Genomic DNA, 18,438 nt, shown 5'->3' on the forward strand with positions numbered 1-18,438 from the left:
GCATGCCGTGCGTTAATGAATCATGTGCGTCCATGTGTCTTTCTGCATCCAGCTGAGGAGCAAGTTGACTTAGTAAATGAGTCCATATTTTACTGTACAAACCTGGCTGTATTAATTCCCCTCTACCTCTGATTTCTGCTATGCAATCCCAGCCAGAAGCTGGTGAGCTCACAAACTGGATTTGGGCCTGGGGGGAAGCAGGATATCTTATTCAGCTTAGCGTCTAAGCCTCAAGCTTCAACCCAACCGAAGACCTGCACTTGTGCAGCAATTGAGTGCAATTTCGATTCCTATTTGGCTCCTGTTCCTTCCAATGGGAACTTTGTGGGGCTGAGAGGAAGGGAGAAGAAATAATCTGCAGGACAGGAATCTGATTTTCCAGGATTCCTGACCACGTGCCATCAAATGCCAGCTGCACCTCTTCCCCTGTGATGGTGTAGCTTGTCCAGCCCCTCTGTGAACTGGCTCAGTCCCTATTGCTCCAGTCTTCTTGCCATTTCACCTCTGCCTGTGGCGTTTCTGACAGCTGGTCCTTCTTGTGTGTCCCCAGCATTTAACATGGTGTCTGGCACCTCCCATATATTTGTAGAATGGACATGTTAAATAGGCCTTGTCACCCCTGTTTCCTGGATGTAACTCAGAGAAACTCAGTAGTTTCCCCAAAGTCACACAGCTAGTAAGTGCTGGATCTGGAATCGACATCAGGCTGGCCTGGTTCCCAGTCCCTGCTCCTCTCTACAGGGCAAAGCAGAGAGCTGCTTTCCCTGGCATGGCCCCATTTGTATCCGGAGAGGGAAACTTCAGCTCACAGAGATTACATGCTCTGGTGCTGACAGCTTGTTCATCTCTTCCACTTATCTGCTGTCTATCTTTCTTACTAGTGAAGGTACTGGGGCATAGTTCTTATTAAATTAAGCGTAAGACAAAATCTTTTATTTAAAGCCATTTACCTGTCCATTTCCCCAGGGCAGCTCTTTATTAAGTGATTTCTCACATTTTCCGGATGACTCAGTCAGTGTGATGGGTGCTATGCCTGGAGAAGAGAGAGGGAGGACAGAGACAGGGGCAGAGAAAGCCAATAAAGCTGACTGAGTAGCTGGAAGGGAAAGCACAGTATCATGGCATAGGTGTAGAGAGAGTATTTGAAGCTTACTGTGAAGGCCGTCTGTCCCCACAGAGCTCTGGGAGCTACCCAAAATGTCCTCATCAGCAATTATGCCCTTCTGAGCCACTCCCTCTGAAGTACTGATTTCCCCCAGGAGGAAAAGCAGCTGCTGTTTGCCCTGTAAGGAGCCTCAGGGCAGAAGGCAGGTCTTGTGTTTCCAGAGGCCTGGGAAGCAAGGTGGAAAGGCCTAGAAAGGAGAGGGACTTGGGGGTAATGCTAGAAGCCAGACTTTATCCAGGGTAGAGTGTTGAGGGGGCTGGGCCCCTGTGAGAAAGAAAACCTCTCTAAGGTGAGAGTCGAGGCCTGAGAGTGACACGGCCCAAGGAACTGACACATGGCCGAGGTCTCATTGCCATTATTGTCAAGACTTTGAGAAATCCAGAGTAAACCAGTAAGGAGAATCTGTGAAAAGACGTGGCAACTGTGCTGGGATCCAAGACATTAAATTGGGTGTCCACCTGCTCTCAGGCTCGAAGGCCCTGCATGTGGAATGGAGTGTTAATCTGATGGTTCTCTCAGGCCCCCTCACGCCTAAGGGGGGGGGTCTTCGGCCTGGGTCAGAGCTTCCTGATGGTGCTGTCTGGACCTGACCTTTAAAGACACCTGCCATACCACCACGTGTGGAACATATGTGGGCTCATGAGGCTCAGACCCTGCCCTGAACCCCACTGTAGACAAAACATTTCTGATACTCCACAGGGCTGAGAGCAGGCTGGCTACCCAGGCAACCCGAAAAAATCCAGATCACTGGTCTTGGATCAGGATACCTGGACCCTAATACCAGCTTCCTGTGTGACCCTGGTCAAGTCTCTAAACTTTCTGGTCTCCAACTATAAAATGACGGAAATAATGTTTACCCCTTCTACCCCATGGGGGCTTGGAGATCCAAATGAGATCCGTCTGTGAAGGAGCTTAGAAGAATGTGAAGTTCTCCTGCAGAGGAAGGCAGATGACCAATACAGACATGGCTACGCAACCGTCAGCACAGATGCTCAGTGTTACCAACAAAAGTGGTTGTCTTTCTTGGAATTATTTTAGAAGTGGGTCACTTGCTTTAAAGAAAGAGATCATCATGGACTGGCCACACAGTCCATGACACAGCAGGTCAGAAAGGCTTCCTCCTACTGGGAAGTCTGGGTGGCTGCTGCACCCACATCCTGGGAGATTCCCACCTAGGGGGCCATCAGGTTTGGAGACATGACAGCCAGCGCTGGCCACAGCCAAAATGACACGGAGTAGTTATGGGCAACCCTAGGCTGGCAAGGTTGCAGCTATGAGGTCTCTGACCCCACGGCTGTTCCCCGCCAGATGCTGGCTGGGTGATCCATGACACATGGTCTTCCATTCCCCAATCCCTAACCCCAAAACTTTTCCATCACCTCACAACCCTGTAGAGCCTCATTCTTCTGCTCCACTGTATTTCAAAACTCCTTGAAAGAGTTGTCTGAACTCACTGTCTTCTGCAAGGAGGGTTTCCTCTCCTTTCCTTATTTCTTTTTCTTTTTTTTTTTTTTTTTTTTTTGAGACAGTCTCGCTCTGTCGCCCAGGCTGGAGTACAGTGGCGCGATCTCGGCTCACTGCAAGCTCTGCCTCCCGGGTTCACGCCATTCTCCTGCCTCAGCCTCCCGAGTAGCTGGGACTAGAGGTGCCCGCCACCACGCCCGGCTAATTTTTTTTTGTATTTTTAGTAGAGACGGCGTTTCACCATGTTAGCCAGGATGATCTCAATCTCCTGACCTCATGATCCACCCGCCTCGGCCTCCCAAAGTGCTGTGATTACAGGCGTGAGCCACCGTGCCCGGCCTCTCCTTACCTTATTTCTTAAACTCATTCAGTTAGGTTTCTGCCCCATCACTCCACTCCCGTCAGAGCCACCAATGGTTATCATGCTGCAAACTGATGCATGGCAGTCACTTCTCAGTGCTCATCCTCCTCCACCTCCCAGCAGCATTCGATGCAGTGGTCAGATCACTCCTTCTTCTCTGTGGCCTCTCTTCTTTTGATGTCCAAGACCACCATCTCTTGGTTCTCAACTTCATGGGCTGGTTCTTGGCCTCCTTTGCAGGATTCACTTCATTTTCTTGAATTTCTTGATTGAACCCTGGGATCCTCCAACATCCAAACAAAATGTCTTTATTTATTTATTTATTTATTTATTTATTTATTGGATGTTGGAGGATCCCAGGGTTCAGGCCTCAGCTCTTTCTCTTCACCATCCATACTCACTCTTAGTTTAACCCATCCAGTCCATATTCAACAATGAATATGCTGATAATCCCCAACATATACTTCAGTCCAGACCTTTCCCCTGAACACCATGTATATATTAGATTCCCGTCCAAAATGTCTACTTGGATGGCATCTCAACTGAAATACATCCAAAACCAAATTTCTGACTTTTCCCACCCCTCCTCTCCAATTTTCACTATCCTAGCAACTTTATTTTAGTTACTCCAGCCGAAAACCTTGCCATCATCCTTAATTCTGTCCCTGCTCTCTACCTGCCCCCTCCATGTATCAATCAGCAATTCCTGTCGGCTCTACCTGACTGCCTTATTCCACCCCCATAACCACCACTCGGTCCCAAATCACCCACGTCACACCCGGAGACCTGCAGCAGCCTCTGCACCCTCTCCTTGCTCCATCCTCATCCCCATCCTTTCATCACAGCAGCGAGAGTGATCCTTCCTAACGTAGAAGTAGATCACGCTATACATTTGCCACAACTCGTAGGATATATGCAACTCAAATAGTGACCCCTACTATGAAGAATGGATTTGAGTGGATAATAACGTATCAGTATTGGTTCATCAATGGTAAGAAATGTACCACACTAATATAAGATGTAAATAGCAGGGGGACCTGAGGAGAGTTGGTGTGTAGGAACTTTCTGTGCCTTTCCACCAATTTTTCTATAAACCTAAAACTGCTCAAAAAAATTATCCTAATAGAAAAAAAAGTAGATCACATCACTCCTCTGCTGTAAACCCTCCAGGGGCTTCCAGCTCCTCGTAGGGGAGAGAGGAACAAATCCCCTACAGGAGCCCAGAAGAACTCCTGCGGTGTTGGCCTCCTATGAGTTCTAGAGCCTCAGTCTCATCTCTCCACCTCTCCCTCTCCCCTTCACTGTGTTCTAGCCACACTGGCCTCTTTGCTCTCCCTCAAATACAGCAAGCACCCTTCCCTGCCTCCCCCAACCTAGGGCTTAGCATTTACTCTTCCCATTGCTTGGAAGGTGCTCACCAGATGTCTCCTTGCTGTCTTCAGATCTCACTTTGAAGTTTAGCTTCAGAGAAGTCCTCCCTTACACTCCGTGAAACATGGCACCTCCTCTCACTCTCTCTCCCTTTCTGACACTTTATCCTTCTTCTCTGCATGTAGCACCATGTGACCTTTAGTAAGATTATCTTTGTATTTCCCCACACGTCACTTCCTCAAAATTAAAAGAACAAAAAAGTCCTGAAGTTTAGAACTGGATCACTTGGCTCTTTCTCCTCTTATCTCCTCCCAGCTCAAAGTGCTCGTATCTCTGAATAGCCAGCATCCTCTTGATCTGCAGTTGGGTGCGACATGTTCCAGCCTTGGCACAAAGCTCTTGGTGATGTTAGCCTTCCTCTGGAAAACTGGCTTTGTTTGCCCACCATTGCCACTCTGTTTCCCATCACAGCACTCCTTCTCTGGGCACTCAGGGAATCCTTGCCCTTCTTATACCGGGTGGCTCTGTGAGGCTGATGTGTACCACACTTCTTATAGAAAGTTCTTCGGTTTCCAGGTACTCTGACATCTTGCAGCGAAGGTGTCTACACGGTGAAAATGGAAATCTGGCATCTGCCCTCTCTGCCTTGCCCTGCTGGAGCCTGTCACCTGATGTGTCTGTGTAATTTTGTTGTCTTCCTCTACTAGAATATAATCACCAGGAGCACAGGAACTTTGCGCATTTTGCTTAATACTGTATCTTGAGGGACCTGCCCCCATGATCCAAACACCTCCCACCAGGCCTGATGGGATGCCTAAAAAAATCTGGGTACTGATTGATGTTTAATTAATATTTGTTGATGTAATGAATTACAAAAACAGAACAAATTAGAGTCCTTCCAGGCTGTCGGCCCTGGAAAGGCTCAGAAAGTCAGGAGTAGTAGGAGCTGCGTAGCCAGAGGATAAGAGTGGCTCAGTCGCCATAATGATGCAGTTTGACAGAAGGAACTTCAGCATCTGTTGCTAAGGGGTTGGCTAAACACCCATGTCACTCCAGCTGTGTTGTTCCTAAACAATAACATATTTTCCAGCTGGTGATTCAGCCTCCCTGAGATCTGGCTTGTAGTGCACTTGAGGTTGTTTCCTGTTCATTACGCTCTGTACACTTTCAAAAAGCCCTCAGTAGCTGAATTAACCCAGCTACCTTTATTTGCAAACAGAAGGACTCAATTTATACAGAGAGGTAGAGAACTATCCTCATGCCCAGGTCTAAAAATTTACTATCAGTTTAACATATTTTACCTGCTTGTATTCTTGTGGTTTATTTTCGTTTCTTGACCAACTTCAATTTGTTCCAGGTTTCGAGGAATCAAAAACAACAGATGATAATGTTACCTCAAAATTTTTGATGTTATAAATAACATCTTTGCAAACAAATCTTTCTTGGCATCTCTGATCGTTTTCTTTGTTTCTCTTTCTAACAGAATGAAGCTATGAATCCTGATTATGCTCAAGTGTAAGGTAGGGTCTTTTTTTTTCAATCCTAAATTATTCCTCAGAAAAGAAGAAATCATTTATTGTCACGTGCTTATTGTCACGTGCTTATGAATGCTTTTATTAGCAGCAATCTTTAAATTATAGTTCACCTTTGAATAATGCCCTCATGCAGTTGAAAATCCATGTCAAACTCTTGGCTCCCCGAAAACTTAATTAATAGTAGCCTACTGTTAACGTGGAAGACTTACTGAGAACCTAAATAATTGATTAAAATATATTTTGTATATTATATGTACTATATAGTGTATTCTCACAATGAGGTACGCTAGAGAAAAAGTGTTATTAAGCAAACCTTAAGGAAAATAAAATGTATTTATTAAGTAGAAGTGGATTATCACAAAGGTCTTCATCCTTGTTGCAGGCAGAGAGAAGGAGGAAGAGGAGGGCTTGGTTTTGCTGTGTTAGGGGTGGCTGAGGTGGAGGAAAATCTGTGTACAAGAAGACACCCGCAGTTCAAACCTGTGTTGTTCAAGGATCAATTGTGCTTTATCTTTTAACAGCAAAGTGCTGTTGGAAGAAGATACATAAATTTAATACTTCTCAATCCTGGACGGAATGTTGGGGGTGGAGGAGTTTAAGAAAATACTGATGATCAGATCCCACCTGAGACCAAGAATATTAGAATCTCTGGGGTAGTACTGGGCATTGGTATATTTTTTTAAGCTTCCCAGCTGTTACCAGTTCATATGGATTGGATATTTGTCTCCTCCAAATCTCATGTTGAAATGCAATCCTCAGTGTTGGAGGTGGGGCCTGGTGGGAGGTGTTTGGATCATGGGGGCGGGTCCCTCATGAAAGGCTTGGTGTCCTCCCCGTGATAATGAGTGAAGTCTTGCTTTATTCATTCACGTGAAAACTGGCTTAAAAGAGCCTGGCACCTCTCTTGCTCCCTCTCACCATGTAACACGCCTGCTCCCCTTTGCCTTCCACCATGATGCAAGCTTCCTGAGGCCTCACCAGAAGCAGATGCTGGCACCATGCTTCATGTACAGCCTGCAGAACCATGAGCTAAATAAACCTCTTTTCTTTATAAATTACCCAGCCTTGGTAAATGCAATGCAAAATGGACTAATACACCAGCGTAAAGCTAGGACAGACAGCCTCTGTCCCTAAATGACCTCAGTCCTTGCTAATTTTGTGTATTTATAGAAGCCACTTTTCAGAGTCAATGTCCAAGAAGCTAAAGAAATTTAACTTTGATTTTGTCATTATTCTTGGAGGTGTGGCTTCCTTCTCTTCTTATCAACCCATTCTCAGGAAACTGACAAGCTCAGTCACACTGAGGTGTTAATGACTGATAACACTTCATGTGTTAGTTTTTTAACAGAATATTCCTTGCCCTGAACAGGAGGAGCCATGGGGGCCTTCTACATCCACTCCTCCTTTTCCACCATTCTGTGGGTGACCAGCTGCTTCCTGTAAGGCCTGTCCAGATTCCTGAGAGAAGCGTTAGGGCTTCTGGCCATAAAAATAGGGTGTTCCAAGGACATAAGCAGGGCAGTGAGCAGGGCAGTGTCCCTTTAATTTGCTGCTGGAATTGGGCAGCATCTGAGATCAGGACCTTTGAAATATTTATCTGCTTGTTATTTATCTGGGCAGGGTGCAGGGGAGAGGAAAGGTCCTGGGAACTCTACCCAGAGTCAGGGAGAATGCAGGGAAAACTTTGCTAAATTTGTTTTAATAACTTTTACTGTAATTTTTTATTGTAAAAGTAACAAAGCTTACTAGAGAAATTTTGAAATATACAAAAAAGTGTAGAGAAGAAAGAAACCACCTATAATCCCACAACCCAGTGATAGCCAATGTTAACAGTTTGGCATATTTCCAGCTAGAGCTCTTTTTTAAGCACAGACACATGCGCTGTATAGAACTCTGTATAATGTTGCATCCTCTTCTTTTCCTTGAATGTTACAGCATAAGCATATTCCTATGTCATTAAAATTTCTCTTAAAACATAATTTGGAATGGCTCCATAGTATTCCCTCATTTGTTGTCTCACAATTTATTTAACTAATTTCCTATTGTTGGATATTTAGGTTTTTTCCAAGTTTTCATTTTATGAAGATAATGAGACTAGTAGCCGTTCACAAATCTGCTTGTACTTCTGCTTAATTTTTAGTTTAATCTTTGACCAGAAAGTCAACACGGTTTTGAGAAAAGTCTACCTTTTTTTTTGTTTTGCTTATTGTTTTTTTTTAAATGGAGGCAAATTTTATTTCACATAAAATTCACCATTTTAACTATTTTAAAGAGTATTTTTTGTGGCTTTTAGTACATTCGTAATGTTGTGCAACCATCACCACCATCTAATTCCAGAACATTTTCGTCACCCCAAAAAGAAACCCTGTACCCATTAAGCAATCACTCCCCATTCCGCCTCCTCCCAGTCCCTGCTTTCTGCCTCTGTGAATTAAAGCACACTGTTCTTGTTCTCAGGAACACCAGGATTCAAATCCTGGTTCACCGGCTGGCTAGGCTTATGACTGTAGGAAGTTACTTAGCCCTCTTCTGCCTTAGAATCCTCAGGTGTAAAAACTGAGCTCTTGACAATTTAAATGAGATATAATATGGGAAAACTCATGGCATGTAATAGATGCAAAATAATTTTGAAAATTAAAACATTACAGCTAAAATGGACTTTTAGAAATAATATCAAACCATCTACTTTACAGATGAGGAAACTGAGGCCCAGAAGGAGTAAATAAGTGGTGTCTTGCCAGTGTAACTATAATTGAGCTTATACCTGCATTACTTTGCAAGCTGTCCAAAGTATGCTACTATAATCCAATGTGCCCAGTATATATAGGTATAGTTCAGTGTAGCTGCACTTGAGCTACGTCTACACTAGTTTGTATACATGCTTTGGAGTGACACTGCTCTGCTTTTTATGAAAAATACAATCCTCACTTCAAATGATTATAAATAGCCCTTGGGCCCAGGAGCCAACAGCTTGCAGAGGCACTGGGGGTTCCATTGCAGCTGGTCTCAGATTAGTGTCTGGGAACCAGGCATCTGGTTACTGTTGTACCATTGTCTCTTTTTATGTTCCCAAAACACCTACAAAGGTGCTAAATAAGCCTAAGGTAACAGTCTCTAAATGTCACTCCACAGATTGCTTATGAGTTAAAAAGGGAAAAGGGTCACTCTACAATGGAGAAGGCCAGTGGAACTCACCTTAACAATGTGGACAAATTTGACATCACCAATAATGGGACAAACTGACATATTTGCCCCTGATATGATGTACTGAGAAGGACATGAAATCACCCATGTAATATTCTTCCCAAAAATGTCTGACCTTTTATCATGAGCATACATAATCAGGCAAATCCAGACTTAGTCTTCAAACAACTGGCCTGGGCTTTTCTAAACTGGCCATGATATGAAAGACAAAGAGGGCAAGAGAACTCTTAAAGGTGAGATGATACCAGAGGGGCTTGACATCTAAGTACAATGTGTGATTCTGGACTAGATTGTGGATTTTAAAAAGAAAAAGGAAAGTATTATGACAATTGGGGAAGTCCAAATATGGACCATGCATTAGATAATATTGTACAATGTTTAGTTTCTCAAAACCAATTGTGTTATGATTATGTGGAACATGTCCTTGTTATTGGGAGATAGATGCTGGATTCTTTAGAAGTAAAGGATCATCATGTTTGTAATTTACTCTCAAATCATTTAGCCAAAAAAAAAGTGTGTGTGTGTGTATGTGTGTGTGTGTGTGTGTGTGTGTGTGTGTGTAGGAAGAAAAAGAGTTAAATGAAACATGTAAACATGTAAAATGCTAACAGTATGTGAGAGTAAGGAATACAGATGTTCATCTTACTCGTCTTTAAACTTTCCTGGATTTGAAATTTTTTTAACATAGCAAGGTTTGAGGAAAAATAAAATGATATCTAGAAATGTACTGTTTGAGATTTACAGTGTTTAAAATTTGGGGGACCAATATTTAAGCATCAAGGAATTTCACTTACAAATCTAACTTTCAACTTTTTAAGGAAAACTATCAGATCTGGCCACACAGGCCACATTTTTGGCAGGACAGCAACTGGTGCTGCTGAATGGTCTCCTTCTGCTTTAAAAGGCCCCCTGCCCCACTTCAATCCTAGGTTCTTACACCCGTGGTATGGGAGCAGAATTTGGACAGAAAAGCTTTGATGGTGGAGAATTTTACAGCAAGCTCTATACAGGGAAGGAGAAGGTTCTGGACCAAAAGCCCTCAGAAACCTATAGAGCAGGTTGGGTTGCCAATGTGGCCAACCAAACCAGCATGACCTAACAGCTTGACCACATTCCTCCTTCCAGACAGATGGCTTGCTAGGATGGGGGCTGAGCCTCCTCCTTCTGACTGGGGACTACCCCAGAGTCTTATCCTTATCAGATGAGGGGCTTCCTGAGAGCAGAGACTGTAGACTTCTGGCCTTATTCCAGAAGAAGGTGTTTGTTAGGCACGCATCTTTGACAGCAGACACCCAAATAACATTTTAGGAATCTTGACCACACCAACCTCCATAGAGTACTCCTAACAAAGTATTTCACTCAGAAGCCTGTGGGTTATTGGTGGCCAACCTGTCACCATGGTGTCCATCATGGTAGCCAACCAATCACAGATCAAAGCAGGCTGGGGCAAGAGCAACACCTCATGTCTTTGCAGAAAATTTTGATACTTAATTTGATACTTAATTGGCTAAGAACTTTGCAGAAAAATTTGATACTTACTTGGCTAAGATAAATCCAATTAGGAGACACATACACCTGACTCACATGACATCATTTTAATGGGATAATGTCCTTGTCATTGGTGGAGGAAAAAGAAAAAGTCAATTCTGGTCTCCACTTCACCACTGACTCAGTCTACAAGATTGAGTGATGCACTTAACTCATCCAAGCCCTCAGATGCCTCACTGATCAATTGGAGCCAATTGTCTGTGCAGGCCCTTTTCACTGGGATGTTGTGATGAGGTGATAAGATATGCAGGAAGGACAATATGTTGAAAAGTATTTAAAAATACTGAAATGATATTAATGTACTATTTGGGGACCGTACTGTTATTTTTCCTCCCAGAGATATCTTCTCTACTTCAAGGTCATCTATTTTTTTTGTTTGTTTGTTTTGTTTTGTTTTGCTTGTTTGGTTTTTTTGTTTGTTTGTTTTCTGTCTGTTTGTTTTGTTTTGTTTCATCTCGCTTTACTTCAAACTTTCCCTTACCCTATCCTGGAGTTCTTAAAGCTCTCAGGAATGGCTTTTCTTGAAGACTCTGGCACCAAAACATACACAGATGCGGCCTGGACACTCAAGCCACAGAACTCCCACAGGAGCAAGAATGGGCCTTATCTGTCTCTGTCACTTTTGACAGATATGAAGAGGCTCTGCCCTGGATCTGGTGTTAAATAGGAGCTCAGTTTGTGTTTGTTGAGTGAATAAGTGAGTGACTCAGGAATGTGGGATGGACCATACCTAAGGAGGGCTCTGTTGGGGAAGGGAGGAGATGGGATGGGTACCAGCATCCAAGATTCTCTGCAAAGCAGGATGGCCCAGGGAGCAGAGAGGAGGGGCCTAGGTTTGGGGCTAGAGGAGAGAGAGACCTGCTTGATTATGTGGAAGAACTTCTGGCTTGGGCAACATCCCCCCTCTCTCACACCCCAGTGATGTAGGAGCCAGTTGGGTAGTGTAAATGGATTAATAATGGTCTATAGCCAGCAGGGCTGAGACTCCATGCCTCACCTGCCACCTGGCAGGACAGTCTCAAAAGCCACTGCGTTCTCAAATTCACCAGGTGAAAGGAAAACAACGTCACTTTAAAGCTGCTCAATGTCACTCTCTGGGTTTGTTTTACATTTCTTTGGTGCAGGAAGGCTTTGGTGTTCTGCCTAGGTATAAAAATCCAACTAACTATATTCAGCTTTGAAAACAATAGATTAATGGCCAGGTGCAGTAGCTCATACCTGTAATCCCAGCACTTTGGGAGGCTGAGGCAGGAGGATCACTTGAGCCAGGAATTCAGGACCCTGTCTCTCTAAAAATAAAATAAAATAAAATAAAATTAGCTGTTCGTGGTAGAGTCTGTCTGAAGTCCTAGCTACTCAGGAGGCTGAGACAGAAGGATCACTTGAGCCCAGGAGTTCAAAGTTACAGTAAGCTATGATCATGCCACTGAGCTCTAGAATAGGCTACAGAGCAAGATGAAAAGAAAAAAAAAGAAGAAGAAGAAAAGAAAACAGTAGATTAAGGAAGGTGAAGTGGCCCACTGCTCTGAAAGCAACCATTCTCAATCCTATAAAACTGGGTGTTTTTGACATCCAGAAAATGCCAGGCACTGTGTTAGACTCTAGAGACAGAGATTTAAAAAGAAAAAAAAAAAGACTTCCATACCCTCAAAGCACTTCTAGTGACAAGAAAAGAGGCAAAAAATGGACAAGTGAATGAGTGGTCAGTGTGGAGCTTGGAGAAGCACCAGGCAGTGCAGGATCCCGGTGGAGGTAGTCCTAACCCAGCCACCAGAGGACAGCTGGAGGCCTGTGGGAGCCGTGGAGGAGGGGAAAAGGGTATTAGACAGTGGTTGTTCAAAATCAGCCACTTTTTAAAAAGAATCATTTGTGTGTGTGTGTGTGTGTGTGTAGACATATATTCATGATAAAAATCATTACATAATACAATTGTTGCTTCTAATCCTAAACTCAAATGCTTTAAACACACAAAGAGTTGAGGAGATGTGATAGAAAGATGTGATTTGTGTAGGTATGCATGCGGAATTACAAAATAAGTCTTTTTCTCCTCAAATTGTTACAGCTCCCCTCCTCCATGAAGCCCTCTTTGACTCCCTCTAATGTGATCCCTTCTCTTCAGTAACCCTAGAGCACCCATTCTGCTCCTCACCTGTGATGAGAGGTGTTAGTCATTTTTATGTTCGTTATTTTTGTATTTGTTATTTTTATCATTCAGCAAGTACTTTCCGAGAGCCTGCCATGTGCCAGGTTCTGTCTCTAGTGTCTAACACAGTATCTGGCTTTTTCTGAATGTCAAAAACACCCAGTTTCACAGGATTGAGAATGGGTGCTTTCAGAGCCACTTGAGAAACAGTTTGGCAGTTTCATATAAAGTTAAACATGCACTTACCAGATGATCCAGCGATCCTACTTCAAGGTATTTACCCTAGGGAAATGAAAATTTGTGTTCACACAAAAACCTGTGCATGGATGCTTGTAGTAGCTTTATTTATAATTGCTAAACTAAACCCAGATGTCCTTCAACCAGAAAATGGACCGACAACAGTGGCATATCCATACAATGGATGAAATGCTACTCAGCGATAAAAAGGAACAAAGTATTGATTCAAACAACAACATGGCTGAATCTTAAATGTATTTAGTAAATGAAAGAAGCCAGAACCAAGAGGCTCCATATTGTATGACTCCATTTATACGACATTCTGGGAAAAGCAAAACTACAGGGGTGGTGAACAGATGAGTGTTTGTCAGAGGTCGGGAGGAGTTAATGACAAAAAGGCAGCATGAGGAATTTGGGGGTGATGGACCTGTTCTGTATCATGGCTGGTGGTGATACACTACTCTGAGCATTGGTCAAAACTCATAAAACTATACATTAAAAAGAATGAATTTTACAGTATGTAAAATTTTAAAATCAGGGCATGGAGTGAACTCAAATCAGGACACAAACTAACAAATGAACCTAACTATATTATAAATGAATAGCACTACCACACTGATGGGGGTGGTGAAGAAAAGAACTAATCTAAGTAAGCAAGCGGTGTTTTGACTGGGAATTGCAAGGTTAAAGAAAAATGAACTATGCACAAATAATGTAGTTAGTAAATTTGTTTCTCGTGAGGACATGTATAAGTAATTCTGAAAATGGATATACTTGGGTTGAACAATAAGTAAATATATTATGAATAAGAAGAGCCCAATTTCCCCCATCAGAGAAAGAAGTTACCAATAAAAACAAACGGAAGGCTAGAATGAACTCTGTGTTACTGGACTGGATGCAAAAGTATCACCATGAACTCATGTTTGTTTATGGTAAAATACACGCAACATAAGATTTACCTTTTTAACCTTTTAAATTGTACAATTCAGTGACATTAACCACATTCACAATGTTGTGCAACCATCACCACCATCCAATTTGGGAACTTTTTCATCATCGCAAACACAAACTCTGTAACCATGAAACAGTAATTCCCCATTCCTCGACCCTTCCCACCCCCAGTAATCTCTGTGAATATGCCTATTCTTGTACTTCAGATAAGTGGAATCTTATGCTATTTGTCATTCTGTGTCTCGCTGATTTTACTTAGCATACTTTCTAGATTCATCCATGTTGTAGCATATATCCGAATTCCCTTCCTTTCTGAGGCTGGATAATAGTTCATTGTACTAGATATTACATTTTGTTTATTTATTCATCTGTTTATGGACACTAATGGTCTTTTAATATATATACAGAGAAGTAGCTACAAAAATAAATATAGAAACGTGTATATTCACATATTAGTGCACATATATAAAAATCCTATCTTGGCTGGGCACAGTGGCTCATGTCTGTAATCCCAGCACTTTAGGAGGCCAAGGCAGGTGGATCGCTTGAGCTCAGGAGTTTAAGACCAACCTGGGAAACATGGTGAAATGCTGTCTCTACAAAATATACAAAACTTAGCTGGGTGTGGTGGTGCGTGCATGTAGTCCCAGCTACTTGGGGGCTGAGGCAGGAAGATCACTTGAGCCCAGAAGGTTGAGGCTGCAGTGAGCCATGTTCGTGCCACTGCACTCCAGCCTGAGCAACAAAGTGAGACCCTGTCTCCTGGAAAAAAAAATTATATATATATATATCCTATCTCTGTCTGCTGAAAGAGCCTAGAAGCAATAGCATCCCAATGGCAATGAGCACACCAACTCTCACAGGTTTGTTTAAAATATCATTCTCCAATAAGAGATACCAGGGAGAAGTGGATGATTCCAGGTCAGGGGCAGGGAAAATGCAAGATGATCCTGAAACATGTTGTGGGACCAGAAAGATATGAGCCAACATGAAAGAGCTCCCAATAGCCAAGGCTGGAACAATGTGAGGAGTAAGATAAATAATGGTAATAATAATATTATTAGATTATAACCAAATAAATATCCATAAGTTTATTCCTATATAAAGAAATAATTGGAGAAATAAATAAGTGGGAAGGAAAGGAATCTCTTCCTTTCAGAAGAATTTCAACTAATAAATGTGGAAGGAATGAAGGAAATAGAAAAATCACCATTAGAACACTACAGTAATAATATTGAAGGCAAGATCCACAAGAGATATTAAAATTAAGGGGCAACACTTTGGGAAGAAAGATATTTGCAAAGTATCTTTCTCCAGATATTTATTAATTACAAAGGTTAAAACTGTAGCTTGACAGTAGGGAAACCCAGCAGACACCACCTTAACCAATTATCAAAGTTAACATCCTCAATAATAAAACATACAGACATCCTGTAGCCCCTGGTATGATAGACTCAGGAGAGCACACTGGCTCTATGCTATTCTTGCCAAAAATCTATAACCACAATATAAACATCAGAAAACCTTATACAAACCCAAACTGAGGGACATTCTACAAAATGTTCCAGTCATGAAAAACAAGGAAAAATAGAAACTATCACAGACTGGGCCAAGAGACTAAAATGACAGGACAACTGAATACAATGTGGGATCCTGGCTTGGATCCCAGAACAGAAAAAGGATATTAGTGGGAAAACTAGCGGAAATCCAGATAAAGTCCATAGTTTGGTTAGTAATATTGTGCCAATGTTACTATCTTAGTTTTGATCATTGTCATATAATGATTATATAAGATATTAACATTAGGAGAAACTAGAAGAATGTATGAACACTCTCTATACTATTTTTGCAACTTTTCTATAAGTTTAAAATTATCTCAAAATAATATGTTTTAAAAAGAAGGAATAAATGCTTTGCTGCTCTCTGTATGTTTTTCAAATATACATCATATGTTAGTAAAGTGGTATAAATGTATTAATTTATAAAGTAATAACTATGACATACTGGTGGTATGTGTGCTAAGATATTTAACAGTGGGAGTTCATGGTTAAAAAGGTTTGGAGACCACTCTTCTTCAGCACGAGCAAGAAGTTCTAGAGATGCCTAGTGTAGTCAAGCTCACATACAAACAGAAAGTGAAATAGTGGCTCCAGGGGCTGGGGGAGGAGAGAATGGGGAAGTATTGTTCAAGGAGTAAAGAGTCTCAGTTTTGCAGGATGAAAAGCGTTCTGTGGATAGATGCTGGTGATGTTGTGCAACAATGTAAATATTCTTAATGTCACTGAATTATACACTTAGAATGGTAAAAATGGTAATTTTACAAGTATCCTATCACAATTTTAAAAAGAAAAAAAGACTGCACAGTTTATCACTCAGCTCTGCACTATCTCACTTTTACATATTTCTCGCAGGTTAGATTTTTCTTCCCACAGGTTTCACGTGATCTAGGTCTGGAATACACCTTGTTCTGGAAGGCAGTGGCACCAGGCTGAGTATCAGTTTATGCTTAGTCCATAGATAGAGATTGACAGGAGTTGGGAAAGGTCAGAGTGCAGAAAGGAAAACTTACCACTTGTGTCCATTTGGGGGAAACTATTAACAAGGTTTCGTTGAAGATTATCTCAATGTCCCAGAGACAAGACAAGCTTCCCTCAGGTCCTTGAAGCCTGGCGACTCCAGGCTCAGATGTAACCTGGGAGATGCATGCTCCTTCTCCATCTTCCTTGACCACCTTCCTGAGGGCACTCAGCCCACGCTGTAAGTGTTCCTTGGTTCTGTGATATCTTCCTACCTGATTTATGTTTAATCGATTTGTATTTGTCATGAACCCATCTGTAGAGGCAAGGTTTTGTCATGGTAATGAACAATCCCCAACATCAATGATTTCAAACTTCAGAGGTTTATTTCTTGCTCACTCTGCACATCTACCATAGGTTGGCTGGGGGTTCTCTGTGCTGTCATTCCTGTGGTTCCAGGATGATGCCACAGCCACTTTCCAGAATGTTGTGGTGACCGTGGGAGCTGGCTCTTGGAGCCTTTGCCTGGAAATGACCCAGGTTGTTTCTGTGCACATTTCATTGGTTAAAGTGTGTTACAGCCAAGCATGATTTAAAGTAGATAAGAAATTATAATCCTCATGCAATCTATTATTGGCGAATAATAATACAGTCCACCACTCCTGTACTTTCCCCGCAACATTTCCCTACTCCCAAGGGGAATAAGTTTTGAGGCTGGAGAGAACGGCATCCCCACTCCCACCCACCCCCACCTCACACACCCTACACCACTGAAAAAATCTTTAATGCCTCTGCCTCCTGGAGGTAAGGCCACAAAGCCCAATTAAGATCATTTGTTTTGGGTTTAGAGGTCTCTGTTGCTGCCCTGGGAGCAACAGAAACCTCTAAACCCGAAACAAATTTAGGTTTATTCGCACACTCCAGGCTGAGTCCATCCAGATGGCTGTGAAGGTCACACCCTACTCCTTCTGGGAGAGGACTCACGGCCATTGATGAAGAGTACTTGTGGGTTGCCCACCGTGGCCCCGTGTGACTCACTGGTTTCCCAGAAGCTAATCAGCCACTGGTGATTAGTGATTCTCCAGCCCATTTCCCCCTCTACTCCTACTGGGAATCCGTAGCTGAATCAGGAGCTGCAATCCCGGAAGATTAGGAGAATCCCTATCCGTTATTTGCATTTTTAAAGGCAACAGCACTCGTGAATTTTTTCCCCTCGTTTTTCTTTTAAAATAATGTAATGTAATCCTTCTTTTAAGATTGAACCCTTAGCAACAGAACACTTGGGAGGGTGCAGTGGGTGCAATGTATCCGTGTGTAAGCATAATTTCTGTGGTTTAGCTGGGTTTTACCTTACACTGATGTAACAAATTATTCACTTCCTATACAACTTCACTGCATTCTTAAAATAACCAATTCACATTGTGCACTTAAAATACTAAATTGTCTCATAAAAATCCAACTTACACCCAACTTTTTGGGAGCATTGTTCCTTCATAAAGCAAAACCTTACTTTGTTGATGTTTCTCAGCAAATTTCTAGAACTACAGACAATATGGAAATGGAGGGTCTTGGATACAACAACTGGAATATTTGTGACTTGCCCAAAACTTGCTTCCTTTTAGGACAGGGGTTTTCTAGCAGGGAGGAAACAGAGTCATACATTTGTTCAACAAACGTTTGTTTGGCTGAGTGTCTTCTAAGAGCTGAGCACTCTGCTAAGTACCCTAGAAGATGGAAGGAGTGATTAGCACCCATTACTCTCTGCTAGGAGCTTACAGTGTGGATGAAGAATCACATTTCACTTGCATGACATCATCCCTAGAGAAGTATCTTCCTACCCAAAGACCCAGTGAGGAAAGTGAGACCTAGAGAGTTTAGGGCTCTGGCCCCAGCCCACACAGCCCCTGGCTGAAATCTCCTGTGTCCAGCTCCATACTTATTCC

At 42.5% G+C, this 18,438-nt stretch overlaps 2 long non-coding RNA genes and 1 pseudogene across 3 annotated transcripts in view, besides 1 other annotated feature; 1 reads left to right on the forward strand and 2 right to left on the reverse strand.

Annotated features, from left to right (window-relative positions):
* Positions 1-18,438, forward strand: part of LOC101926974 (uncharacterized) — a 44,062-nt gene that overhangs the window by 5,792 nt on the left and 19,832 nt on the right. The window contains exons 1-2 of one of the 2 annotated variants that reach the window (XR_940050.4): positions 5,534-5,627; positions 5,845-5,881. This is a non-coding gene — a long non-coding RNA (uncharacterized LOC101926974). Of the gene's footprint in view, positions 1-5,533; positions 5,628-5,844; positions 5,882-18,438 lie in introns of those variants that run through there. The other variant, XR_940051.4, reaches the window with a different exon arrangement.
* Positions 182-4,704, reverse strand: LOC105374581 (uncharacterized). The gene is made up of 3 exons (XR_940052.3): positions 4,409-4,704; positions 2,979-3,274; positions 182-1,033 (listed from the first exon to the last, which is right to left on the reverse strand). It is a non-coding gene; the product is annotated as an uncharacterized LOC105374581 (long non-coding RNA).
* On the reverse strand, positions 4,632-4,947 carry RPL36AP14 (ribosomal protein L36a pseudogene 14; annotated as a pseudogene).
* Positions 17,402-17,696: an enhancer, noted in NCBI's record as "tiled region #5165; K562 Activating DNase matched - State 8:EnhW". NCBI's record gives its function as "activates a minimal TATA promoter and a strong SV40 promoter by Sharpr-MPRA in K562 cells {active_cell/tissue: K562}" and the evidence as "EXISTENCE:reporter gene assay evidence [ECO:0000049][PMID:27701403]".

This window comes from Homo sapiens, chromosome 2 (assembly GCF_000001405.40).
Source record: "Homo sapiens chromosome 2, GRCh38.p14 Primary Assembly".
Lineage (NCBI taxonomy): Eukaryota > Metazoa > Chordata > Mammalia > Primates > Hominidae > Homo > Homo sapiens.